The sequence below is a fragment of the Homo sapiens genome, chromosome X (genome assembly GCF_000001405.40).
Source record: "Homo sapiens chromosome X, GRCh38.p14 Primary Assembly".
Classification (NCBI taxonomy): Eukaryota; Metazoa; Chordata; class Mammalia; order Primates; family Hominidae; genus Homo; species Homo sapiens.
In genome coordinates, this window is record NC_000023.11 from 18,888,451 (window position 1) to 18,914,721 (window position 26,271).

The 26,271-nt window shown below is 50.4% G+C and overlaps 1 protein-coding gene and 1 long non-coding RNA gene across 14 annotated transcripts in view; one reads left to right on the plus strand and one right to left on the minus strand.

Annotated features, from left to right (window-relative positions):
- The first annotated feature begins 1,845 nt into the window (after positions 1-1,845).
- PHKA2-AS1 (PHKA2 antisense RNA 1) lies at positions 1,846-6,525 on the plus strand. Its single transcript, NR_029379.1, has 3 exons — positions 1,846-2,178; positions 4,755-4,888; positions 5,697-6,525. It is a non-coding gene; the product is annotated as a PHKA2 antisense RNA 1 (long non-coding RNA).
- The window catches only part of PHKA2 (phosphorylase kinase regulatory subunit alpha 2), a 91,817-nt gene continuing 69,393 nt past the window's right edge, over positions 3,848-26,271 (minus strand). For 5 of the 13 annotated variants that reach the window (XM_011545537.4, NM_001440805.1, XM_047442166.1 and 2 more), the window contains 14 exons: positions 22,422-22,510; positions 20,351-20,484; positions 19,450-19,606; positions 18,568-18,647; positions 18,286-18,364; positions 18,045-18,174; positions 17,308-17,409; positions 13,035-13,153; positions 12,220-12,249; positions 10,699-10,776; positions 8,713-8,883; positions 6,688-6,741; positions 5,754-5,954; positions 3,848-5,205 (listed from right to left, as the gene is read on the minus strand). In XM_011545537.4, coding sequence (XP_011543839.1) covers positions 5,035-5,205; positions 5,754-5,954; positions 6,688-6,741; positions 8,713-8,883; positions 10,699-10,776; positions 12,220-12,249; positions 13,035-13,153; positions 17,308-17,409; positions 18,045-18,174; positions 18,286-18,364; positions 18,568-18,647; positions 19,450-19,606; positions 20,351-20,484; positions 22,422-22,510 — 1,595 coding nt within the window. In that variant the 3' untranslated portion in view covers positions 3,848-5,034. Of the gene's footprint in view, positions 5,206-5,753; positions 5,955-6,687; positions 6,742-8,712; positions 8,884-9,373; positions 10,777-12,219; positions 12,250-13,034; positions 13,154-17,307; positions 17,410-18,044; positions 18,175-18,285; positions 18,365-18,567; positions 18,648-19,449; positions 19,607-20,350; positions 20,485-22,421; positions 22,511-26,271 lie in introns of those variants that run through there. The other 8 variants (NM_001440802.1, NM_000292.3, NM_001440803.1 and 5 more) reach the window with 5 other exon arrangements.

Below are 26,271 nucleotides of genomic sequence, written 5' to 3' on the forward strand. Positions count from 1 at the left end.
ACACACAGCCTTCCTCAGGGGCAAATGTGCCTCTTGCGTCAGCTCTCCAGGGCAGACCCTGGCGAGGGCACAGGTCCTTCTTTTATGGGCAGAGGAAAGAAAAGCAAGCATTCCAGCTGGAGCGGACACTGAGTTTCAGATGTTTGGCATTTGAACCTCCTTCCTGTGTTCAGGGGATCCCCATGTTATGAAGTGGGGACCTCCACTTTGGAAGGCAGAATTCTCAAGATGCGGCTTTTTTCTTTTCTTTGAGACAGGGTCTTGTTCTGTCACCCAGGCTGGAGTGCAGTGGTGCAATCACGGTTCACTGCAGCCTTGACTTCCCAGGCTTAAGTGATCCTCCCACCTCAGCCTCTTGAGTAGCTGGGAAAACAGGTGTATACCACTGTGCCTTGCTGATTTTATTTTTTGTAGGGAGGGTTTCACATTGTTGCCTAGGCTGGTCTCTAGCTCCTGGGCTCGAGACCTCCTGCCTAGGCCTCCCAAAGCGCCAGGATTACAGGCACAAGCCACTACGCCTGGCTGGATGCTGTTTTTTCTAACCTCTCCCTCAGCCGAGGCAGTATGCTTGCCTGAGACCTTGAAGTGGCAGCTAGTGGCTGTTTAAAATCCCTTTTGGTGACAAGTAGAAGCCTCTACATTTAGTTTCCAAAAGAGCAGAGGCAGTGGTCCCAGTGACAGTGCCCAGCATTGGGGGTGTCTGTGGTGTAAGTCCTGGGGTATGAACCTGGGAGTACTGGAGAATGACATGGGATCTTGGTCCTGGCTAGGGAGCCGCTTAGCCTGGTGACCATGTGACCTATCCAATATTGTTTAATAAACTTCCCACTTAACCCAGCCACAGTTGGTTTCTGTTGTTTGCAAATGAACTTCGAGACAATGGCAGCTGGTGGCACAGAGATTAGAGCCAGTTACTGGGATTTCTCTTTGGCAAGTCCATCCTGGGTTTGCATCTGGGAAGATCTTTCACAAAAGGAGATGTGGAAGGCACAACCATCCCCTCGTGCCCAATTCAGATGCAGCTTACCCTTTGCAGAGCCTGGCACCTTGGCTATGCCAGCTGCAGGGGAAAGGGGTGGCGGCCACCTGCAAGGGTTGGGCCAATGCTGCACAGGATTCGGGCTCAAGACACCAACACCCTGCTAGGCCAGCGCAGGGAACACTCACCACGGGAGCCTAGGGGCTTCCTCAGGGGCCTTCAAGCACAAAAAGAGATACTTTTCACCCTCCCACCCCCCAACCAGGCTGTATGCCTGCCTGGCCCTCAGTGGGCATGGCAGAAATGCTAGGATTCGTGTTGGATTCATGCATTTTTCAGAATAGTTTAAGGACTGCACGAAGACAGAGGGACGAATCACATGACTTCAGAGTTCATTGGTTCCAACTATTCCAGCTCTCCTGAGAAGGCATGTTTTGCCAAAAGTGCACATATGTTCCTCTAAAGAAAACCATGGTAGTTTTTTGATGGAATTTTTTCCTCTCCCAGGCATCGTCAGACGTGCCCAGCACTCGACTGCAGAGCAGCCTCTCTCACAGTTTCCACTCTCATTTCTCAAAGAACTCTCTTGGTACCTCAAGGCCGTGGCTTTCCTAAGTGGCTTTTTGAGGGAGACAGCAGGGACTGGGCTTTAAGGGGGCCACAGCGCAGCTTTCTTTTCCCCTCACAGGCAGAGCTATCAGTAGCCACGTCGGGTAGAACAGAAGGCATTCTGGGAACGCGGTGCTCTCACATCCTGCAAAGTACAGGCCTGCAGAGCAGATGGCAGGGACTTCAAAAGCTAAGTCACCTTGAAAGATAATGGCACAAAGGGCGATTGGGGGTGGGGTGGGTGGGAGGCTTTTGTACCCTTTTGCAACAAGGAAGCAGAAAAGACAAAAGCTATTTGCCAGCCTGGTGCGGGAATCAACAGAATAGAGAGATGGTTCTGCTGCAATTTCCATCAAGGGTGGCCAAGCCTCCAGTCTTCTTGTCCAGAAGTAAGTGGCATCAACCAACTCTGCCAAACTGCATTTCCTGCCTCCTGATCTGGGGTCTTTTCCTTTTCTTTTTTCACACAGGGAGTATTTCCATCCTCTCTGTCCAGGCAGCTGAGCCTTGACAACCTCTCCTCCCCTTCACCATGCCCCGACTGATCTCCTAATGGAGCCCCACCCCTCGAGTCCCTGGGCCTGTGGAAGGTAGGGTCTCCCCCTCCTCCTCATCCTCCCCCACTCCACTCCAGGTGGGGTTGCAATAGGGCTTATCTGGTTTCCTCTAAGCATGAAGCCCTTGACCAGAGGAGGAGCGGGAGTTCACGTCACGCCCCCATGCTTAGTCCTGGCCTTTTGCATTTTTTGTGGATGGGTAAACTGAGGTACATAGTGGTCAACTCATGCCCAGGATCACAGAGGCACTGGCAGGGTGGCAGGAATGCTGAATTCACCTGATGAGAGCCAGGGACAGCAGCGGGTGGGGCGGTGGCTGCTTTTCAACTGAAGTTGTTAAAAGGAATGCTTATTCCTGGCCCCACCGGCTTGCCCTCCAAGGCAGAACGTGTTAATACCGAGCCCCAGCAAAGGTTCAAATTGACTTCTTGGCTCTGAGCAGGGAGGTAGAAGTTCCTGCCCCCGCCACCCCCGGCTCGAGGCTCCAGGGGCTGCCAGGCTCCTCTCGCCTGGCCTAGAAACAATCCCCTCCTGCCACCTCCACGCAGGTGCTGTCAGGACAGGCCCTCTGCCCTCAAACATCTGCTCCTCTCCTCGGGGAGGGGGGCCTCAGCTGCGCGCTGAAGGGGCCAGGCCTCAGAAGCCTGTTCTCCTTTGAAGCTGACAGCTTGATGCCTGTGGAAATGCGGTCCTATTTCAGGATTTCATTTTAAAGAGGTTTCAAAGGAGTGGCTGGAAGGCTTGGTGGAATCGCTTATTACGGCTCCTCTCCCGGCCCGCAGCTTGGTGGCTGAGCACGTCATCATCATTGGCAGGCAGGTGACTGTTCTAAATTAGCACCTGGCTCATTCTGGAGGGCTCTAACTCTTCCTGAGCTTTTTCCAAGAACAACTTTCATGACTTATACCTTCTTATACCTTTCCCACGTTATCTGTTTGAAATGATCCACGGGGCAGGTGAATTACGTGTCATCTCCAAGACTCTTGTTTCTGTCGGGCATGTCTTAAAGACACACACACATGCAAAGGCTATGAAAATGCGACCCCCCAGACCTGGGAAGCTGCAGCCCGTGGAGCCTCAGGGGCAAAGGGAGCAAACTGGCTTGTGAGGGAAGAGCTGCTCTGGTCAGCGGCTGTTGTGGGATGGGGAGGGAACAGGGTGACCCAAGGGGGCAGGGGCCTGGTGCCATGTCTGCTCATGTGCCGCCCTCCTTGTCTCTGGGATCTGCCCCCAAAATGCAAGAAACGCGTAAGCCCACTGTAGCAGATATGGAGAGACTCCGGGGGATTTTCCTTTACCTAACTACTCTGCACCTCTGCAAGGGAGAGCATTATGGTTTGGAAGAAATGGAAACGGCATGGAAGTCCCATGTGGGCAGAGCCTGCACACCAAACCCTTCTAGACTGCAAAGGGTTTGACTCAGCCCAAAGAGGACTCTGCCAGGAAGCTGTCAGGCACCTGAGGCCACCTGCCTCTCCTCCGCTTCAGGAATAACCATCAGTACTGCATCTTGGCTCTGAGGGGCACTGGGCATCACGATGCCCACTCGAAGCAGCTAGGGCACGTTGATCTCTGCATCTCCATACAGATGTCCGAGGAAATGATCCCATAGCCTCATCTCTGTTTCAGAGGCAGAGGCAGAGTCCACCATAATCTAGCCCATTGCTCTCAACCAGACAGAGCGCACCTCCTGGCCACTAGGTGAGCATTTGTCTTTCAAGGTTTATTATTTACAGAAACTGTTTTCCCATTGGTTTTGTTTCCTTCCCCCAAGGTAAGACAATGCCCGGAGAGAAACTCCATTGCTAGGGCATTGGCAAAAGATTTGCCAGACCCTGACACCTGACTCAACCTTGCTCTCCTCCAATCGGTGCCTCCAACTGCACCCACCCAAGAGAGTGAAGACCAAAGTGCTTCTACCAAGAGGGTACAGGTTCCTAGCCTGGCTCTATTTTTCAGAGGGAAGCATTGTTTCTGCGGGGACATGCCTGTTCACTTCCATGGCACTGCTGACTTGTGCTCACCCTATGACGCCTCGCCCAGAGCACAGGAGGACAGTATCCACTGCGGGGCGTTCACCCCACGCGAGCGGGGACAACAGGTCTAGCCCTAAACAACTGCTTGCCTGGCTATAAGAGGAGCCTTGTCTTTTTTTTTTTTTTTTTCTAGATTCCAGAAGATGCAGTATTTTTCCTAAGGCAGGAGAAAACCCTAGTTCATAGACAGCCAGGATAAAAACCCTGGAAGACCATGAGCCAAGGTGAACGAAGAGGAATTTTCTAAATCTTGGGGACAGAGAATTATGTTACATCAAGGCAGCCATGCCAATAAAATGGAAGGCTATGAAAGCAAGCAAGGCACAAGAAAACCCCCATTCCACAGAGAGACACAAGTGTTCTATTTGGTGAAGAGTTTGGTGCACAGACAGACTGCATCCTGTGAAGAGGTGGCCCTTGTCAAGGCTACTGCCGCCAGGAGGATCTTTGCATCTTTAGGATGTGTCACTAGCTCATCGAAACTATTTCTGTAACTCTCTGCAAGAGCCAATTTAAGCTGGCGTCTCAGTTCCCTCTGCACTCAAAAGAGACCAATTTCCAATTCCTCCTCAGAGTCCGTGAGACCAGATGCTACAGCAAATGTTCCAGAGAAATGAACCTAGAAAATGATCCCGGGGTGCTCCTTGCGGGGGAACACAGGACTCCTCAGCTCTATCTCTGTGGCTTTAACATACATCAGTTTCAGGGTGAGTGCTACCATTGCCCCCCGAGAGTGTTTCTGATGGGACATGCTTTCCTGATAGCACAGGGGATCTTGGGGGACAGAAGGTTCCCAGTAAGGCTAGGGGGCACGTGACAGATTGAGAGTGTGATCATGTTTCCAGGTGAGACCCTATTGCATCTGGCAGCCCGAATTGGGCAACAATTCCTGCAAATAAGAAGCCACTGCTCTTGTTAGGTAGGTCATCGTCCCATAAGCCCCACTCGGAGCGCTGTCATAAAAGAAGTGGCAGATTCCTGTGGCTTGGTCTTTCTCCAGGGTGTCCATGGCACCAATTGACACCTGCAGTAGGAAAGGGCAGAGGGGACAATAAGCGGAGCCCCCACTCCCCGTCACGCTTCTGCGTGGTGGTGGCAGCGGGTCAACATGGGCAGGGGTGAGGGTTGCTCTAGTAGAGCCTTGGCCTTCTGAGAGGCTCCAATTCTGAGGGCATGAGGGCACGAAGCCAGCGCTGCCAGGGGGAATGCCCTACCTCTCTGGGCACTGCACTCTGTTATCACGCACCCTAGTTTGTAGCTCCTGACTATAATGAGGACTACTCTGTTGAACTTGACTTTGTGTACAGGGTAAGGGGTTCACCCATGGTCACATGTGTTGCAAGTGGTGGTGTTTGGACGAAAACCTGCATTGAGACAGGCCTATCCATCCCCAAAGGTCTTGAGATTTCCCAAGTGGCCACTGTACCATTTTCTAAGCAAGTGGTTGACATTTTTTCCCCATCATCTGTGATGACATTTTCTTGGTTCGAGTATATTCTTTCCTATTGGACACAGAATCTCCAGCCTCAACAGAGATAAATGCCAGCCAACCCAGCTCCCTGGCACCCCCACCTGGTCCTGCAAGAACAGCTGACTGGCCATCTGCACGATCTGGTCCACGTGGATGATGCCCCCGATGCTGGTCATCTCCGTGTCCGAGAGCAGCGTCAGCACCATGATGGCTTCCACCAGCAGCTGCCGGTACTCGGGCTGCGGCACGCGGTTCAGCACCGATTCGACATGGACAGCAAACTTGATCTCATGCGGGGTCATCTACCAAAGGGACAGGCAGGCAACCACCAGTGAGAGGACAGATGCAGCCCTATCAATCAATCACCGAGTAACCAAGGGTGACCGTAGCAGTGCCTGGGCTCGGGGCTCAGCGCCACTGCTGCCCCTTTTCTGGCCACTCCCTGGATCCTGCTGGCAGTGGCCCTCAGAGCAGGAGGCTGGAGTATGCCTCCAGGAGCCAGCCTGTCCTCGCCTGATTTATCTACCCTTCCCCCCATCGACTACAGCTTCCAGGGAGCAGGGACCATTTCTGGTTTCTCTTTCCTCTTCATTATTCCTTCCAGCATGAAGCATGGTGCTTTGGGTGGGGTAAAACTAAAAAAAAATCCATGTTAAAAAGAATGACAAATCACCTAGGGACGATTACTGTTTTTAGTTGGAGAAAAGGGCCGAGAAGGCTGCCCATGGGGCAGGCCAGGGTGGCATGGAGATTGGCTCCTTTCTTTCACCAGGGTTCTAAGGGGTGTCTGGCAAATGCAAAGAGCTTGCTAGCCCAGAAATGCTGAGTCTCAGGTGAAGAAAAAGGCTGATGCCAATAAATGCTGGAAAGACATTTTTGCCAAATATGAGGGTGAAGGGGCTAGACAGCTCAGAGCTACAAATGGCCTGTCAATTAGAATGAGCCCAAAAGGAGCACAAGAGGTCAGAGTCCATGCAATGAAGCCCTTATTGTGAACCCACAGAGGGGCCCGCCTCTGCGTTTTTCTCATCGTACCTCTCGGGTCGTCGAGGATGGGAGGACATAACCATCGATGGAGAGACCGTGGCACTGGAGGCAGAATAGAGCGCATTTCAGTCAGATTCCAGAATGGGATAAGCACATGCATGCACACACAGGCGTGCATGCACACACAGCACCCTCTGCCCTGGAAACCCATATGAGGGCTGGGACACGCCAGACTGTCAGAGTTATTTTTAGAGAGCTTGTTCTCACTGCCCACAGGCTGTGTTTTCGATGGAACAATTCTAGGGAACCCAGCAGGCATCTTTCAGATCTCCCCCGAACAATGCCCTAGGGGGCTGCCGAGTCCTCCCGGGAGGCTCCGCATTGTACTTGGCAACTGGGCCCGGGCGGCTGCGAGGCCCCTTTGGTGCCATAATAAAGGGGGATTTTCATGGCTCCTGCTGGGGAAGGGATGCTTCTGTGCCTTTGCAGGCATCTATTTTTGAGATTTCTATAATAAGCACCAATCACAAAAGCCTCCAGCACATGCACAGACATGCACATGCACACCCATGTATATAAATATCGAGTGCCAGCTCAACACAAAATGCTTTTTCATAATAGAAATATCTTGGTATTGCGCCAGTGAGTCCGAGCGGAAGCATGTGATGCCCCAGGAAGAGTGGGGAAATTTTCTAGGAACAGCTTGTTCTAGTCTAACTGGCCACCTTCTAAATCCCAGCACCCCGGCCTGGAGCGTCCCCAGTGGGCTGAGGGCAGAACAGCAGTGGACACTCCCACCCCCTTAAGAGAGGCGGGAAGTGGAGCAAGCACCATGAGCCCCTGCAGGATCCTGCCTGGGTCCCAGGAGTCCAGCTGCTCGGGCAGGGCCTGCTCCGACCTCCTCACATCCCTCTGCGGTGGCCGTGAGGAATACCTTGGGGCCCATGAAGCACAGGGGCCCCTGTTACAGAAAGAACCTTGAGCAAGTGGTGCCATGGCTTTGGGAAGGGGGCTGTTGTATGCTGTCACTGGGATTATTTTTTCTCTTCTCTCCCACTGTGAAATGAACTAAAAAATAGTTCTGGGGGGAAAAAAATGTCTTGGTTTGCACAGCTTTTAAGCGAGGCACACTGTCCTTCCATTCAAGGGAAAAGACAGGGAGGGCCTGGTGCAGCCCAGGGAGCTGCATAAACTCTCTCGGGCTGATGCAGAAGGGAGACACTGGGGGGGTACAGAGAATGCTGCCCCCCTCCTTGACAACAGGCGCTCAGGGAGGTGCTCCTGTGCTCAGGTACAGGCACCACAGTTCCCAGGGACAACAGCTGGGGAGACGTGAACGGCCCCAGGCAGATGGGAAGCGCAACAGCCGGCTGGCTGAGGGGAGTGGGGCCCCAGGGTGTGAGGGAGATTGTGCCTTCAGGGCACACAGGACCTGGGGCTAAACTGGAAGCTCTCCACCTCTGTACACCTTGGGACTGAACACGGCAGGTACCCTGGGAGGGTGGGGCTCAGTCACATCGCTGAACAGCAGGGACACTACTCCTGCCTGGATGTGCGGGAGGCTGGGGGGCTGGCCTACTCCAGGCCCCTCCTGAACTGTCATTCCAGGTTCCAGGCCTGTAGGTGCTGCTCTGGGTGGTTTTACAGGGTTTTCATCTGAAGCCTCCCAGCCTTTCCCTGTTCTTCTATGTTCCTAAAATACGTCCAAGTTGGTCCCACACAACCACAACCTAGACTGCCACCTTGTCTTACTTGCTGTGGTTCTCAACTGGGTTGATCTGCCTCCCACGGGATGTTTGATAATGCCTGGAGACACTTTTAGTTGTCACACGGGGGTGGGGTGGGGAGAAGAGATGGCTGCTGGCATCTGGCGGGTAGAGGCCAGGGATGCTGTAGACATCCTACCACGCACAGGCCCCCTAGCAGAGAATGCCTCGGCCCCAGGTGCCAACAGCGCTGAGGCAGAGAAGCCATCCTCAGGGCTGTGTGTTTGCTCGCCTGGAGGTGCCACCATGCCTTGCCAGGACAGTAAGGGGACGGTTCACTTCCCCAGGAGCTCGCGTCTCGGCTTACCTTCTGGAGGATCTTCCACACCCTCTGGTAGAATCCCACGGGGACCCTGTTGATGGCCCCATCCAGCCTTCTCCTGCGCAGCCACTGGCCCTGCCGCTCACCCCAGCCGATGTGATGTCCTCCCGAGTCTGAGGATGACGTGCCAGTGGGCGAGGATGGGGTGCTGGACCTCTGCAAGACAGACAGCTTGGGGCCTCAGAAGCCACGCAGCAGGTGCCCCAGGGAAAGTGCGCCATCTCGAAGGGCGGCCCTGCGACCTAGGCACAAATGCCAGAACACCACTCGCCAGAGAGGAACACGGTTCCTCCAGTCCACCTTGTCTGTTTCCTCATGTGAGATGACTCGCATACTTTGGGTTGATCACTTCATTCCATGTTGCACTCTGCCCTGCCCCCCGAGAGGCAGTCCCACCCCCAAAGCTAGAACCCATAAGGAGGAGGCCGAACAGGGCGAGCACGGGCTTGGGGGTCAGACTGCCGGAGTGCTAATCCCCACTCAATGCCAGCGGTGCCAAGGACACACCCGAGGCCGTCTGGCCCTGCCATGAACACTGATTCTGGGCCTCAGTCTCATCTGCACAGTGGGGACACAGTCAGGCATCCTATAAAGAGCTGCCCGGAAGCCTTCACCACGTGGAGACACAGAAGCCCCTGAGGCATACCTAGTGTGCGCTAAGTGCCCATGAGGGGCAGCTGTCACCCGCACGTGGCGCCTGTGCCACTGCAGTGGGAGAGCTTTGAGGGTGACAACGGGCCCTCGGAGCAGGCATCCATGGCTCAGGGAGACAAACTCCATAGTGCCCACTTCATTGCTGCAGTGCCACAGAGAAGTGACAGACACGTTTCCACAGGACAGGAACCACAGAGAAGGCAATACATGACACGGGGGAAGACAAACAGTGAAGCCCGCGTTTAGTGGCGAGGACCTCGCAGATCAGGGTCCATCCACCCACCCTTTGCAATCCCATTTCCGGCTTTCCCTATTCTTGGCACTGGGCTTTATCTTAATTTGGGGCAATGGCTGCCTCTGAACTGGGGCTGACTTTGCTGAAGTGAGGGAAGAGGGCGCCATCTCCTTCCCACCTCAACATTGGCTGGACTGATTCAGGCTCCAGAGGGGGACACTGTCTGAGAGGCTCCCCACCGCTGGCGGGGCGGGCCTCTGTGAGTGGGGGCGCATCCCCTCCCTGCGGCAAAGCTCCCAGCCTTCTGTCTTGCCCTGCGGGGCTTCTAGCTTCGAGACCTCCAGGTCGAGAAGGGATAACCTTCACTCTCACACATCTCTTTGCCTGGGACTATCTGGCACTTTTGTTTCTCGATAGTGCCACACATCAAATGTGCACAGTCAAATGTAAAGGGTTAAAGTGAAATCCTGAAGTGTGCTAGCAGGGCAGGAGGTGGAGCTCTCCTTTCTGCAGCAGTTGGATTTCAACAGATCTTATTTTGAAAAGGCAGTTCGGCTGGGTTATTCCATTGGGCTCATTACTGCCACTTAAGGCAACAATTAGACACAAATAAAAGTAATTACAGCTGCACTCCTCAATGACTCAGCTGATCCGGGCCCTCCAGTTTCAGGAGGAAGATTCAGCCTCTGCTCTGCGGTGAGCTCAATCCGAGCCCTGCACGAGATCTGGGGCATGGCAGGTGCAGAGTGCTAGTTGGCACATGTGGGCAAGGGCTCACCATCCTGGCTCCATAAAGAGGCATGGAACTAATGCCCCGAAGTTTCCAGAAGCTCTGGGAATTGGTGAGAAGGAAACTCCTCACCCACACTGTGCCAAGGAGCACAGGCAGAGAACTGAGAGCTTAAGACGGAGAACAAAGCTCAGGGCAAGCACTTTGGGGCCTTCTTTCTACCCTCCTCAGAATTCCAGTTGGAGGAGCCTGTGAGCATCCCGCTGAAAACACTTCAGCCCTGCTCGAATCCTCAGAAGTTGGGCATGAGGTGGGAGCATGAGGAAGGACGCGAGGAGGAGCGGGGACGGACACAATAATCCCGAGGCACTGTTACCGCAGACTTGGAGGAATGCGCACTGCTGGACGCGGCCTGGCCCACAGAAAAGAACTACAAAACAAAAAGAATCCACTCAGTTGACAGCAATGACACCAAGAGACACAGCAGAGAGGAGGGTCATGGAGCAGCATCCGAAACACCCACAGAAAGCAGCAGCAGAGAATGCGGGCGCAGAGAAGGTGCCACAGCAACGCACATAGGCAAGCTCAGGTGCAGGGGCACCTGCAAGCACCGCTCTGGGCTTCGACTCCACGTGAAACTTACTAACTGCTCTTTTTAAAAACATGAACTGTTACCATTGAATGTAAACATTAAATGTTCCTGTCATATGTGGAGGGTGCATCATCAAGTTAGGACACTATTTATTTTCCAAACTCACAGCCATGAAATGCTCACATTTTATGGTAAGAATTGTGAAAATCTACAGATGAACCAAATACCTACAGCTGACACTAACATGCTGCACCTAACATTCAGTAGATATTCATTAAATGAATGAATATGATGATCGGGCTGATACCTTTGGCCACATAAGTATTTCCTCGTCTAAAATCTAGAATGTACCCTTAATTTGCAAGGGTACAGTGTGCTATCTACAAGGTATTCTTACAAAAGAGACTAGAGATTGAAAATACCATAACACCTATTACATTTTTGGAACAAATAATATGTTCCTTGACGTAAGTGGTCAAAGTTTGTACTAGCTAGGTGACTCTAAGCCCAGCAAAGAACAGAGGTGATCACTTCATCCCCGTAACACGCAAGAACAGCATGAAATAGAGGCGGAAGGAACCACTCAGATTCACCCACGGTCAGGCCATCGGGATGCGGGGACAGAGGGACGGTGCCACCGAGTGGCTGGCAAGGGAAGATGTTTGAAAAGGCAGTTCCCTACTTGGAAACAGCATAAACTAGGAGAGATAAAGCATGTTTTACCTCTGGGCAACATGTGGAATCGGCCTTTACATGTCATTAAGATGTCTCTAGGCTCTTGTGGTAATACACATCAAAATATTAGAAATGCGACTCCAGTGTCCCAGAGGGGGGTGGAGAACATATGTCACCAGGGTGATATAAAAGAAGAGCACCCTTACATGTTTTTCCTTCCAGGGTTAAGTCCCCCCAGGCGATCTGAGGACAGGAATAGCAGCATTCTTTCTACTGATATAACCAATGACCGCATTTCCCCCCCATTTAGTTTTCTATTTAGTTCCCTCTTTTTGAATAGAAACTCCCACTGAGGCAGAGCCTGGATGATCTCTTTCACAAAGTACCCTACAAAGCCCAAGAGTTTGAGAAACAGATTATTTTTAAAGGCATGGGGCAAGGTCGTCTCTCCTGCCCTCGAGTCCTGCTCTCTGCCTGTGCCCCAGCCCGTTTGCTGGATAGAGCCGCCCTCTACACATTCACACGCTGCGGAGTCACAGCCTCACTTTCCACATTCAAGCCAGAAAGAACAGGAAGTAAAGGACGAACAAGGCAAAGGGGTGTCACCTGTTCATCAGCACTAAACCGCCTAGTCATCTGAAAGCAAAAATACATCAGGAAATCAAAACCAGCTTTGAGCCAAGAACGCGTGCTTCTTCTATTGCCCTCTCTCTTAATCCAGGGCCGTGTTGGTCAAACCGCAGGGGGTGACCCATGAGTGCATCATGGACTCCATTTAGTGGGTCATGAACAGCATTTAAAATGGAGCAGAAAATTCGAGTGCATTTCTCATGGTCAGAGGGAAACTCTTTCCCAGCATGGATCCTGGGCAAGGCCTAGCACAGCACCCAGCACGTTAAGACTCCGATGTTGAGCTGTGGCCCTGTGCGGTCAGTTCAAAAGGATTTTTTTTTTTTTTTTTTTTACCAGGAATTAAAGGTGAACTAAGAAAAGAGACCCCTGTGGCTGGTGGAGAATCCAAGTATCATGGGCATTCTGGTCTATTTCCAGAGCCCTCTTGCTATTTCGTTTGAAGGACACAGATGATTCGGTGACTTTTTGCATGACTCTACTTTTTCAATGGCTGTGGCCCACTCCTAAGAGTGGTTCTCGGGAACAGAGGCAAACATGGACAAGGGTATTTTCTGGAACGTTCATGAGAACATCACGTTAAGGTTAAGGATGAGTGGGTAAGGGTGCGCATGACCGGCTCTGGAATATCTATCTGGGGACAGGGGTGTGTTCAGATCCCAGACAGAAGGGACCTCCCACTCTACAGACAGTGGGCTGCAGCCTCATGCCCTAGGTTTCTGTCGCTTTCTGGGGTAAGCCCAGGTAGGGAGACCACCACTCATCCCTCGCTGCCACTGAGGTGTTCTTACCTGTTTCATTTCACTCCTCAGTCTGTTAATGCCACTCCTCTCAGTTTTGGTGACTCCGGTATGGCCCACCTCGTGGATGGAGATGGTAGGGCTGGATGTGGAGGAGTGGATAGGGCGCACTGGGTGGGAAACACACACACGTGGTTCTCAGGAACTCTACAGCATCCAACCCGAGGCAGGATCTGCCCCTGTCTCCCCCACTTGACAATGAGGGCCTTCTCTGCCTGGCCAGCGCTGTGTCTCCAGCACCGAGAGCAGCACAGGTGCAGCACTCAGCTCTTAAAGGAGTAAACGGAAGTGTGCAGAGTACTTAAGCACCATTATAACACAGTGGCCAGGAAGCCCCGACACAGTGAGATATGTTTTTTTTTTTTCCGAGACGGAGTCTCACTCTGTCGCCCAGGCTGGACTGCAGTGGCATGATCTCGGCTCACTGCAACCTCCACTTCCTGGGTTCAAGACATTCTCCTGCCTCAGCCTCCCGAGTAACTGGGATTACATGCGCCCGCCATCACGCCCGGCTAATTTTTGTATTTTTAGTAGAGGCAGGGTTTCACCATATTGGCCAGGCTGGTCTCAAACTCCTGACCTTGTGATCCGCCCACCTTGACCTCCCAAAGTGCTGGGATTACAGGCGTGAGCCACTGCAACCAGCCATGTTTTTTTATTTTTTTTGAGACAGAGTCTTGCTCTGTTCCCGAGGCTGGAGTGTGCGATCTTGGCTCACTGCAACCTCTGCCTCCTGGGCTCAGGCGATCCTTCCGCTTCAGCCTCCCAAGTAGCTAGGACCACAGGTGTGCGCCACCATACCTGGCTAATTTTTTGTATGTTTTGTGAAGACAGGGTTTTGCCATGTTGCCCAGGCTGGTCTTGAGCTCCTGGGCTCAAGCGATCTGCCCGCCTCAGCCTCCCAAAGTGCTGGGATTACAGGCATGAACCACCGTGCCCACCCTTGCTTTTGGATAAGTAAAAAATTATTCTAATAAAACATACCCGGCCAGGCGCGGTGGCTCACACCTGTAATTCCAGCACTTTGGGAGGCCGAGGCGGGCAGATCACCTGAGGCCGGGATTTCGAGACCAGCCTGACCAACATGGAAAAACCCTGTCTCTACTAAAAAAACAAAATTAGCTGGGCGTGGTGGCACATGCCTGTAATCCCAGCTACTCGGGAGGCTGAGGCAGGAGAATTGCTTGAACCTGGGAGATGGAGGTTGCGATGAGCTGAGATCGTGCCATTGCACCCCAGCCTGGGCAACAAGAGCCAAACTCCGTCTCAAAAAATACACAAACAAACAAAAAACATACCCGAGGCCAGGCACGGTGGCTCACACCTGTAATCCCAGCACTTTGGGAGGCCGAGGTGGGAAGACTGCTTGAGCCCAGGAGTTCAAGACCAGCCTGGGCAGCATGGTGAGACCTCGTATCTATATTTAATTAGAAATAAATAAATAAACAAAAATTTAAAAAAAACCCAAAGCACACCTTCCTTGTAGAAAACTGAGACCACTGAACTACAGAAGCTAGAACTAACATCTCTTGATATTTTAGTCATGATTCTTCCAGTTTTTTTCCCTATGACTGTGTATGTTTTTAACTAACAAAACAGTACCATCACATACATACGTATAGATACAGAAACATGAGATGGATACATACATTCTGTGGTATGGTTCTGTGACCTGCCTTTTTGTACTTGTATCGTGAATGTCTCTCCCTGGCATTAAATATTCTATCACATCATGTTTCATGACCGCATGGAGTTTGATCTGGTGAGTGTTGACTGGTCAACAATATACCCAATCCTATTTGTATTAATATTTTTCTAAAGGGTTCGTCATGACTAATGTGTAGGACCCACATGGACCTTGCTGGGCTCTGTCCCCAGTCCCGTGTGACTCTCGGAATGCCCCTGGAAAATGACAAAACTGCTGTGGGCCCGAGGGGCTGGCACCCCGGGCAGCTGTGGCCGTGGGCTGGATGATCCAGAGGGCCTCCTGGTGCCAGGCCCTGTCTGGGCAGCAGATGCAGGTGTGAATGCAGGAGAATTCAGTGCCACAGCGGGGTCTGGAGGAGAGCCCATGCCCAGGCCTGAGGGCAAGGTGCCAAATGAAATGAAGGTGGCAGCTGGAGAAGGGCCTCGGGCTGGAGGGGGAAGTGCTAGGAAAGCCAGGCTGCCAGGGGCTGGAGGTGGAGGCAACCAGAGGCCACTGATGCACTGCACCAGGCCACCACCTCTCACTCCCAACCTATCGCACCAGCCTCGGGGCTCAAACCGGTCCCTAGCCCCACCACCCACAAGCCTGGCCTCTGTGCTGTGGTAACAGCAATCATTCTAAAAGGCAAGTGTGATCGTATCACTGCCCACTCCAAAGCCTCCCAGGTCTAGCTGTCTTCAGGACAAAGGCCAAACAGTCCTCCCAGCATCACCTGAAACTCTACCAACTCGAGCCCTACCTCCCCTCAACTCCCGGCCACCTGCACCGCACTGGGCATCTGCCTGTGCTGGAAGGCCAGGCCCAGCTCAAAGGTCACCTCCTCGGGCAGCATCCCCTGCAAGCCTCACCATCCCACCTGACCCCAATGGAGCCATGGGAGTGGAGGGCACTGTGCAGGAGGAGTAGTGACAAATAAGGAACTTGGGGACAAGAACATTTAAAGGACAGCAGAGAGGCAGGAGCCCATAAGGGAGACTCAGTGATGAGCTGGGGAGGGAGGACAGACCCAGGAAAGTGGAAAACAGAAGGAGAAGGGTCTGGAAGCTACAAGAGGGGCTGTCTGGGGTGGGTGTTCGCTGGAAACATTTATCTCAGACATCTCAGGATTTAATCAAAATTCTAAGCCTATTTGGGCTTCCTAATTTACAAAAATTGAGCAATTACAAAGGACAGCTAACAAATGATGTTATATGTTAAAAAGACAGCATGTCTTCTGCTCTTGCTTGCAATCGCACATATTTATGACTTTCAAATGACATTACTCAGTTCCTAGTTTCATAGCATCTATAGCTGTACATCTAATGACAAATTTTTAGTAATTATCTGTGTCAAGCCATGAATACTATAATGATGAGCAGAACACATTAAATATTTATCTCGTACATTACCATTTCAAGGACTCTGCCTTGGAAAGAACTGGAAATTACTTTTGCAAAAGCATTCTGAGCACCCCTCCTTCGGGAAAGGAGAAAAACCACCAAAACACATCTGACTGCACGATGCTGTCTTTGTTTGCAGCCAGCACATGCTCAGGAAACATACAAAGTACCCAATGTCCTTCTTATTAAATAATAAAGGAATGATAGCCCACAGTGCATTTCTTTGGCTTGATGAAATAAATTCACCAACGTGCCTGCAAATCATTTAGCTTTTTTATGAGGAGGAGAAATGATAATTGCTTCAATTATAATTAGGGAACATTTGAGAACAAGAATCACGCCAGGACTTGGGTGATTATGTTTCCCAGCACTGCAAGCAGGGTTCCGGTTCAGATAAAAACAGAGTGAGCGAGGCAGGACAAAGCAAAATAAGTTAGCTCGAGCATGCTGAGGTCACAGAGGGGTCTCCTCCCTGCCCTGTGGAGGGTGATGTGAGGCCGGGTTGAGAATGTTTTTACCCAAACCAAAGGGCAGGATGCTCAGGTGGTGTGAAAGGACAGCCCTTTCACCCTGGCATTCGGGGTCCCCCACACTTCTAACACTTTTTTTTGAGAACAGAGTTTTGCTCTGTCGCCCAGGCTGGAGCGCAGTGGCGCGATCTCAGCTCACTGTAACCTCCACCTCCCGGGTTGAAGCAATTCTCCTGCCTCAGCCTCCTGAGTACCTGGGATTACAGGCGCGCGCCACCACGCCTGACTAATTTTTTTTGTATTTTTAGTAGTGACGGGGTTTCACCACGTTGGTCAGGCTGGTCTCAAACTCCTGACCTCGTCATCCGCCCACCTCAGCCTCCCAAAGTGCTGGGATTACAGGCGTTAGCCACCGAGCCCAGCCAACACTTTTGCGTAAGTGATGGTGCCAGGTGCTTACGACTACAGGAGGCGGTATACCACACCCACATGCTGTGCCAACCTGGGCAAGAAAAGCTCGCCCAGCACACTGCGAGCAAGTCTCAAAGCCCCCAAAGCAGGAAGCTTGAGCCTAGGACTCTGTCCATCTCCTTCAGGTAGGAGCCTTCTCTTCCCACATTCGCTATGCCCCACAGTGCTGGTTCTAATGTCTGCTGCATGTAAAGGAGGCAGCTCCCTGAAGACGTTAACAGGAGCATGGAACTTACCACTTCTTTCAACGCCAAACTCTTTCCCACTTAGAATATGGTGCAGGAGATTTTTCATATCGAAAGGGCTGAGGTTCATCAAACTTTCAGAAGCCTCTTCTCCTAAAAACAAATATCTTGTAAGTGTCCCAAACACAGGGCTGGTGGCGGGTAAAGGTAGGGTCAGGTGGACGTGGGTGGGGAGGGAGGTGATAGCAGATGCCATGGCAGGTCCCCCTGTTCAGGAGAACCTCACTATTGCTTTGGGGCTGAAATGCACTGTTCCGTGGGGATTCTAAATGCTGCCGTTTAAATCATGTATCTGCTTAATTCTTAGACACATGATGTTTCACAATGTATGATCCCCAACGTTGGATGTCTCATGATGGATTTTTATATTCAAATTGGTAGGGTTTCTCCCAGTGAAGGTGTTATAAAATGGGGGTGACATCTCATAGCAAGGGCATCCAGGAAGGAGCTTAGATGTCGGGTACAGGGCGGAAGATTCCACATCGCCTTTGAGGCTATAATGGTAAACATCACCAGAGCCCCATTCTCCCTGACTTATGAACTTCAGCTCTATGCCGCATGGATGGGAGTTCCATCTAAATGAGAGAAGCTGGTAAGGCCTGAGCTTGCCACAGGCTTGGATGCTGGGTTCGAGATAACCTAAGCAGTTCTTCCCCTGAGAGTGGAGGCCGTGGCCGGGTGGTTGGGGTGGGGTGCGGCGGGAGCTGCAGGAGCTGCGGGCATCTCACCTGAGCAGTTCAGGCTCCGTGCCAGCTCCGTGGCCATCACCTGAATGATCAGTCCAATCCGGAGTCTCAGCATCTCCACAAAGAGGCTGGGCTGCGCCCTGACATACATGGCCAGGTAAACCACAATCTCCTGAGGCAGACACACACGGAGATAGGGTTTCAGAGACAGGGTGAGTGGCTGAAGGGTCCCCTCCACTCTGAGGAAGGCTGTGGCCCGACCCCTCCCACACCAGCCCCAGACCTGCGTGAGGACGGCAATGCTGATGTCCTGCCCACTGGCCTCGTAGATGAGTTTTGTGAGCTCCTCTGGGGGAAGGGGCCTAGAAAGGAGCATTGTGTCACGAATGTGATGAGGTGTCTTGAGACAGTGCCTCCTCGCCCTCCATGGAACACCCTTATTTTCTGTGCTAGACGCATCCATGTGACAGAGTGTCTTTAAAAAGCCCCTCCTCCGAACACTGGGAAGCGCTGTTTTCCCCATGGCTCCCCCGCAAACCTGAGGTCCCCAAGGCTGAGGACTTACGCAGAGATGATCTTCTCCCGGGGCTCGGGCGGCAGGCCCACGGTGAGCTGCTTCTGGTGCGAAAGCAGGTCTGTGCAGGCCTGCGCAGTTAAGGGGAAGGGTGAGAGGCAGAGCGCGAGAGAGATACTGGCAAAGACGACAGACAGGCAGTGGGGAGGAGACACTGCCAATCAGATCGTACATTTACCTTTACAAACTTAGTGACCCATGTTGCCCTTGATCTGAAAAATTCATACCTAGACCCCAGACTAAGCAACCCAGACAGGGATGGGTGTCTGTGGTCTCTGTCTCCAATGTGTGGCCCCAAGCCTGGCTCCGAAGGGCCCGTCAGTGGGCGTTTAATGCCCATCCACTAGCAAACACATTGGACTCCCTGCTATTGAGTGAGACAGGGATGAGTCCGAAGATACCGATGGTAAGAGTTAATAACCATATTCAATTCCTAAGTTACCCGTTTCCCCATTATTCACATCTAATAAATGCCATCATCTTACCATCATGACACTGAACTCGAGTGTCTTAGAAAGCAGCTCTGGATTTTGCCTGGCCTTGGGGTTATAAATATTAATGATCACTGTACTGTGGATGTGTGAAAAAAAGAGAGCTCTAAGAGGCTGCCAGGCCACAGAGCACTTTCATTTGATTTCCTGGCGAGACTTTTTCCGTAGCCAAGAAAGAACAAAACCAATCCACTTGCATTTCCTTCCCTCTGCTCGCCTTCCTGGAGCAGCAGGCAGGCAGGAGAGAAGGGCCCGCTCCACCTGTGGGTTAAAGAATGGGGCTCCTTCACAAGTAAGAGGTATAACTGGGAGATTGGAAGTGGAAGAGGAAGGGGGCACGAGCTAGTGAGCACACATGGGCAGCCTGCACAGTCGCACTGACCTCAGCCAGGACCTCCACTTTCTTCCTGAGAAGGCCTGAGATGTAGCGAATCAGACCCCACTCCTGGTTCAAGCCGGCTTTCCCATAGAGCTCACCAAGAAGGTTTTGAACGGTGACCCCGTGCTGTCCAGAGAGATTTGTGTCCCAGCTGGGACCCCTGCCAAGAGGTAGAAAAACCCAGAAATATGGTCCAGAAAGTTTAGACTGGGAGAGGAATGGATCACTGTGCATTTTGCACAGCACTTGGGCTCTCCCAGTGCCCCTGAGTCTCACTGAGAGGGTTACGCCCGACCAAAGCTTCCCTATGTCCTTTGAAACAGAAGCCTAACATCAGGACGTGGTGGCCTCCTGGCCTCACATAGCCTTCTCATGCTGGGGGACCAGCATCAGTAGGCAGAGAAGGGGATGGAAGTCTCATTCCTGGTGATCCTGGGTAACTGGGGTGAATATAATCATGACCTGGGCTGGCTAGAAGGCCAAGAATACTACGGAAAAAATTAAGGAGAACTGAGAAAGCTTAGCCTAGTAAAGACCATAAACTTACTGCTACGGCTTGAATGTCTGTTTTCCCCCAATTCCTATGTTGAAATCTTAACCCCCACAATGATGACATTAGGAGGTGGGGACTTTGGGAGGTCATCAGGTCAGAGGGCAGAGCCCTCCTGAAGGAAATGAGTGCCCTTATAAAAACAATGCCAGAGAGCTCACTCGCCCCTTCCACCATGTCAGGATGCAATGAGAAGATGCCATCTATGAGAAAACAGGCCTTCCCAGACATCAAATCGGCCTTGAGTTTCAACTTCCCAGCCTCCGGAACTGTGAGAAATTCATTTCTGTTGTTCCTAAGCCAATCTGTTCATGGTATTTTGTTATAACTGCCCGAATGGACTCAGACACTTACTTTATGACATAAAGAATGTACAGAATGTCTGCTTGGTCCTGTAGGTTCGAACAATCTTTTAGCTGCTCAACCAGCTTCTCACAGTCCACGTCACCATGGTCATCTCTGGGCCACTGAAAGTCACTTTCAGGAACCTGTTCATACAAGAGCCAGAAAGCAGGGAGATGGGCTAGGCATGGAACTTTCGGAAGATCAAGAAGTGAAACACCAATCTGGTCTTGGAACTCTATTGCTGTGCTGTGCTCCAGTTTTCAATGACTTTTTGTACCTCTTTATTTATAGGCTTTTACTATTTTTGATCAGTGAATCACTGTGCTGGTCAACATTTGCAAGAGACTGGACTGAATAGGTTAAAATATATGTGAGTTTTATTTATGGAAGGTTCACAGACCAGTAGAACTAACCTCTGGTGTTAGGAATCATGACAGCAGTTATCTCTGGACCAGAAAAGGAGAAAGAGATGGGAGGGGGGCACAGAAGGTGGTCATTGATCCAGGTATACTGGCTTGGTGATCATTCATTGAGCTGAAGGTGTGAAGGATGTGCTATCCCCAAATATGCCAGATTGGTATATTGACAATTTTGAGTTGAAAACATTGGAAAAATTGTAGTTTCAGAAAGGGGTAGCTGACCTGTCTCTTTCTGCAGGCAGCAAGCCATAAGGATGCCTCTGGGAGGGGTACACTCCTAGGGCGTGAAAATAGCCCATATCACCAGAGCCCAGGAACTGGGGGCGGCAATGGACCTGTATAAATACACTTACCCAAGGAAACCTTATCTTCCACTAGTTTTACACACCCTGTGTATATATCTCCTAGTAACTGCCTCTAGCCAGATTTTCCTTGTCCTGTCCTAGCTTCTCAAATTTATCACTCTTTGTTTAAAAAGTAGGAAAGCATCTTGCTTTGACCACTTCTTCAGACTTCACTCTCTTGTGAAGATCCCCATGTACCCAGACAGCTAATCACCTTTGTATGCTTTTTCTTGCAGATGCCTGGTGTCAAGCGGCTTCTAGACGGAGCCGAAAAGCCCTCACAAGAGCTAAGGAGGGGTTGGAGGTGACCTCTCGCTTCTCTATTCCTGCTTTCTGCACCATGCTGCATATATGGTATAGTTATTTGGAAGCAAAACAAACGCAAAAAGGATGTAAACAACCTAAAATTGAAATCAGGGTAAAATCTTCTCCAACAGGCACTGAGTGTGCCACTGAGTCTGTTCGTGTGGGGTAGAATCAGGGAAGAGTCCTGGATAAAATAACAAATTGTGGGAATTAATGGAACAGGCTGAGATTTTATTCTCCTGAGCAATCTTATTTTTAAAATTTTTTTATGCCCATCTTTTTCCTGCAGTATCCTAAGGAATCTTTTACTGTTTTTTCTTACATTAAGAGCATTAGGAGCCAGGTGCAGTGGCTTGCGCCTGTAATCCCAGCACTTTGGGAGGCTAAGGTGAGAGGATCGCTTGAGCCCAGGAATTCCAGACCAGTCTGGGCAACATGGTAAAACCCTGTCTCTACAAAAAATACAAAAATTAGCTGGGCATGGTGGCGCACGCTGGTAGTCCCAACTATTTGGGAAGCTGAGGTGGGAGGATTGCCTGAGCCTGGAGGTTGAGGCTGCAGTGAGCTGTGATCACACCACTGCACTCCAGCCTGGGTGACAGAGCGAGACTCTAAGAAAAATTTAAAAAGGCCATTAGGAACAAAGAGTCCTGTACTCTGTTCCCCAAGTAGTCCCACCTTGGCTGGCTAAACAGTTAGGCGGGGTTAGGTAGTGAGCTTTTTCCTCTAGTGGCTACATAGACTCTGATGAGTAGGCAGCAAGGTAGTAGCTTTTTCTACAGGCAAAATGTAAAGGTTTGCATCAAATTCAATGTACATATTGATGCAAGTCAGATTCCAGACAACGAAGTGATTGGGTTCACACCCAAGCCCAGAGCTTCTAAACTGAAAGGTCCCTGATATCGAGAAATATGCTGTTTCTTTTGAGTTTAGCCATTTGGAAGAGTTTGGGGACTCATCCTGCATTGTAGAACACCATACTTTTAAAAAAAGCTGTTCCATATACTTTACCTTTTCTAGGAGTGGCTGAGGAGAATCAACAAGATTCAGTGATTTACGGTGGGCACTTAGAACTTTAGTCGGCAAAGTCATGGGAACAACTGGAAAACAAAAGAATAAAGAGAGTTATTCTGAGGAGGAAGAACAACACTTTTTTTTTTTTTGAGACAGAATCTCACTCTGTCACCCAGGCTGGAGTGCACTGGTGTGATCTCGCCTCACTGCAACCTTTGCCTCCCGGGTTCAAGCGATTCTCCTGCCTCAGCCTCCCGAGTAGCTGGGATAACAGGCACGTGCCACCACGCCCAGCTAATTTTTTTTTTTTTTTTTTGAGACAGAGTTTCCCTCTTGTTGCTCAGGTTGGAGTGCGATGGCGAGATCTTGGCTCACCGCAACCTCCACCTCCCAGGTTCAAGTGATTCTCCTGCCTCGGCCTCCCAAATAGCTGGGATTATAGGCATGTGCCACCACGCCTGGCTAATTTTGTATCTTTAGTAGGGACGGAATTTCGCCATGTTGGTCAGGCTGATCTCGAACTCCCGACCTCAGGTGATCTGCCCACCTCAGCCTCCCAAAGTGCTGGGAATACAGGCATGAGCCACTAGGCCCAGCCTAATTTTTATATTTTTAGTAGAGACAGGGTTTTGCCATGTTGGTCAGGCTGGTCTTGAACTCCTGACCTCAGGTGATACAGCCGTCTCAGCCTCCCAAAGTGCTGGGATTATAGGCTTGAGCCACCGTTCCCGGCCAATACTTCTTTTGAGAAGTATGGCGGCTGCTCCTTATCTAACACAAACCAACAGAAGGAAAGATCACTTATTTAGTTTAGCTTCAACAAGAATTTATCATGTAGCCACCTCATGTGCTAAATCTGGGAATAAGAAGTGAGCAGGCATAGATCTTGCTTTGAGAACTGGATTTCGCTTTTCCCTCCTGGAATTCAGGAAAAATGATACAACATCCCAGGACTGGAAAGAAGCTCAGAAGTGATTTCGCCTGACCTCTTTTTCTTTCGGATGAGGAAACTGAGAGACCCAGAGAGGGCAGACCATTTGTCCAAGGTCACTTCCCATAACCAAGGTGTCTTGGCTTCCGGTCCAGTATGCACTTCACTCTGCCACTGCTGGGCAGTAGGGCTTGTTTTTCAACCACCTCTGGATATTATCATTATTGATATTTATTCATTAAGCCATCCCTGTCTTCCAGGCTATATCATGTCATCTCAGGAGAACAAGAAGTTTTCAAGGTAAAGATGATGCATATTTAAAAGGCATTTATAGACCTCCAGGTTATATTTGTGAATTGAATACACACTGTAATTTTAATTCCTTCCAACCCTCCACTAACATTACAGAAAATATATACAGTCATGCATTGTTTAATGACAGGGATACATTCTGAGAAATGTGTCATTAGGCAAATTCCTCACTGCATGAACAGCATAGAGTGTACTTACACAAACCTAGATGGTACAGCCTACTACACACCTAGGTTGGATGATAGAGGCTATTGCTCCTAGGCTACAAACCTGTATCCATGTTCCTGTACTGAATACTGTAGGTAACTGTAACACAATAGTATTTGTGTGTCTAAACATAGAAAAGGTATGGTAGAAAGATGGTATAGGCCAGGCATGGTGGCTCATGCCTGTAATCCCAGCACTTTGGGAGGCTGAGGTGAGAGGATTTCTTGAGCTCAGGAGTTCAAGACTGGCCTGGGCAACATAGTGAGACCTCATCCCTACTAAAATTAAAAAAAAAAAAAAATGGTAGGCCAGGCGTGGTGGCTCACACCTGTAATCCCAGCACTTTGGCAGGCTGAGGCGGAAGGATCACCTGAGGTCGGGAGTTCAAGATCAGCCTGACAACATGGCGAAACCCCATCTCTACTAAAAATACAAAATTAGCCAGGTGTGGTGGCACATGCCTGTAATCCCAGCTACTCCGGAGGCTGAGGCGGGAGAATCGCTTGAACCTGGGAGGCGAAGATTATGGTGAGCTGAGATCATGCCATTGCACTCCAGCCTCGGCAACAAGAATGAAACTGTCTCAAAAAACAAAACAAAAACAATGAGCCGGGTGTGATGGTGCATGCCTGTAGTCCCAGCTACTGGAGGGCTGAGGCAGAAGGATCGCTTGAGCTCAGGAGACTGAGGCTGCAGTAAGCCCTGATCGTGGCACTGCACTTCAGCCTGGGTGACAGAGCAAGACCCTGTCAAAAAAAAAAAAAAAAAGAGAAATATGGTATATAAGATGAAAAATGGTTCACCTCTATAGGGCCCTTGCCATGAATGGAGCTTGCAGGACTGGAAGTTGCTCTGGGTGACTGGGTGAGTGGTGAGTGAATGTGAAGGCCTAGGACATGACTGTACACTGCTGTAGACTTCATAAATACTCTACATTCACACTGCACTGAATTCATCACACAGTGTTCTTTAATATTAAATGACCTTAGCTTACTGTAACTTTATAAACTTAAATTTTTAAAAATCTGACTTTTGTAATAACAGCTTAAAACACAGATCGTACAGCTGTACAAAAATATTTTCTTTCTTTTTTTTTTTTGAGATGGAGTCTCGCCTTGTTGCCCAGGCTGGACTGCAGTGGTGCGATCTCGGCTCACTGCAACCTCCACCTCCCTGGTTCAAGCGACTCTCCCACCTCAGCCTCCCGAGTAGCTGGGATTACAGGTGTGTGCCTCCACGCCCAGCTAATTTTTGTATTTTTAGTAGAGACAGGGTTTCACCATGTTAGCCAGGCTGGTCTTGAACTCCTGACCCACCCACCTGGGCCTCCTAAAGTGCTGGGATTACAGGCATGAGCCACCACAGCCGGCCCACAAAAATATTTTCTTTACGTCCTTATTCTATAAGCTTTGATCTATTTTTTAGTTTTATTTATTTTACTTTTTAAACTTTTTTTAAAAAATGAAAACACAAACACACACATTAGGCCTATGCAGGGCCAGGATCATCCATCACTGCTTCCACCTCCACAGCTTGTCCCACTGGAAGGTCTTCAGGGGCAGTAATGTACATGGAGCTGTCATCTCCTAAGATAACAATGCTTTCTCCTGTAATCCCTCTTGAAGAACTGGTCTGCGGCTGTTTCACAGTTAACGTTTTTTAATAAGTAAAAGGAGTACACTCTAAATACGCAAACCAGCAACATACTTATGTATTATCAAGTATTATGTACTATACATAATTGTATGTGCTAGACCTGTACACGACTGGCAGCGCAGGAGGTTTACTGATACTGGCATCGCCACAAACATGTGAGCAGTGCATGGTGCTACAAAGTCACTACAGCTACGATGTCACTAGGTGACAGAAAGGTTTCAGCTCCATTATAATCTTAGGGGACCACCGCCATATATGCGGTCTGCCATTGACCAAAAAGTTATGTGGTGCATAACTGTATATATTTTTTTTTAAAAGACAAATCCTTGAGAATGAAGAAAAACAAGAAAGAAGACGACAGGAACAGAATTTCAGAAGCGGGAAAGCTGACAGATGAAAGATAAGTGATTTAGCTGACACAAGGCAACCAATTCCCAAGTCTGCAGTGGAGAAATCCGAGAGCTGGTCAGTTACACCCAAGGCTCATCAGAAGTCCCTGGGGCCTGCTGCACTATGTGCTTCTGGAACTGGGGCCTAGAAGGGGTGTCCAAAACAAGGAAGGCTGGGGAGAAGCTATCTGAGAAGCAGTGAGCTCCCTGGACATCCGCTTCAACTACACCCAGCTTGATGACCACCTCACTCACTCTGACAGAAGACTGGAGGGTCTCTCAGAAGAGGGTAAAGGAGGAAGGGGCTCGAAGAGAGAGGGGCTGCTGATTAGCACATCTGAAGGCGTAGATA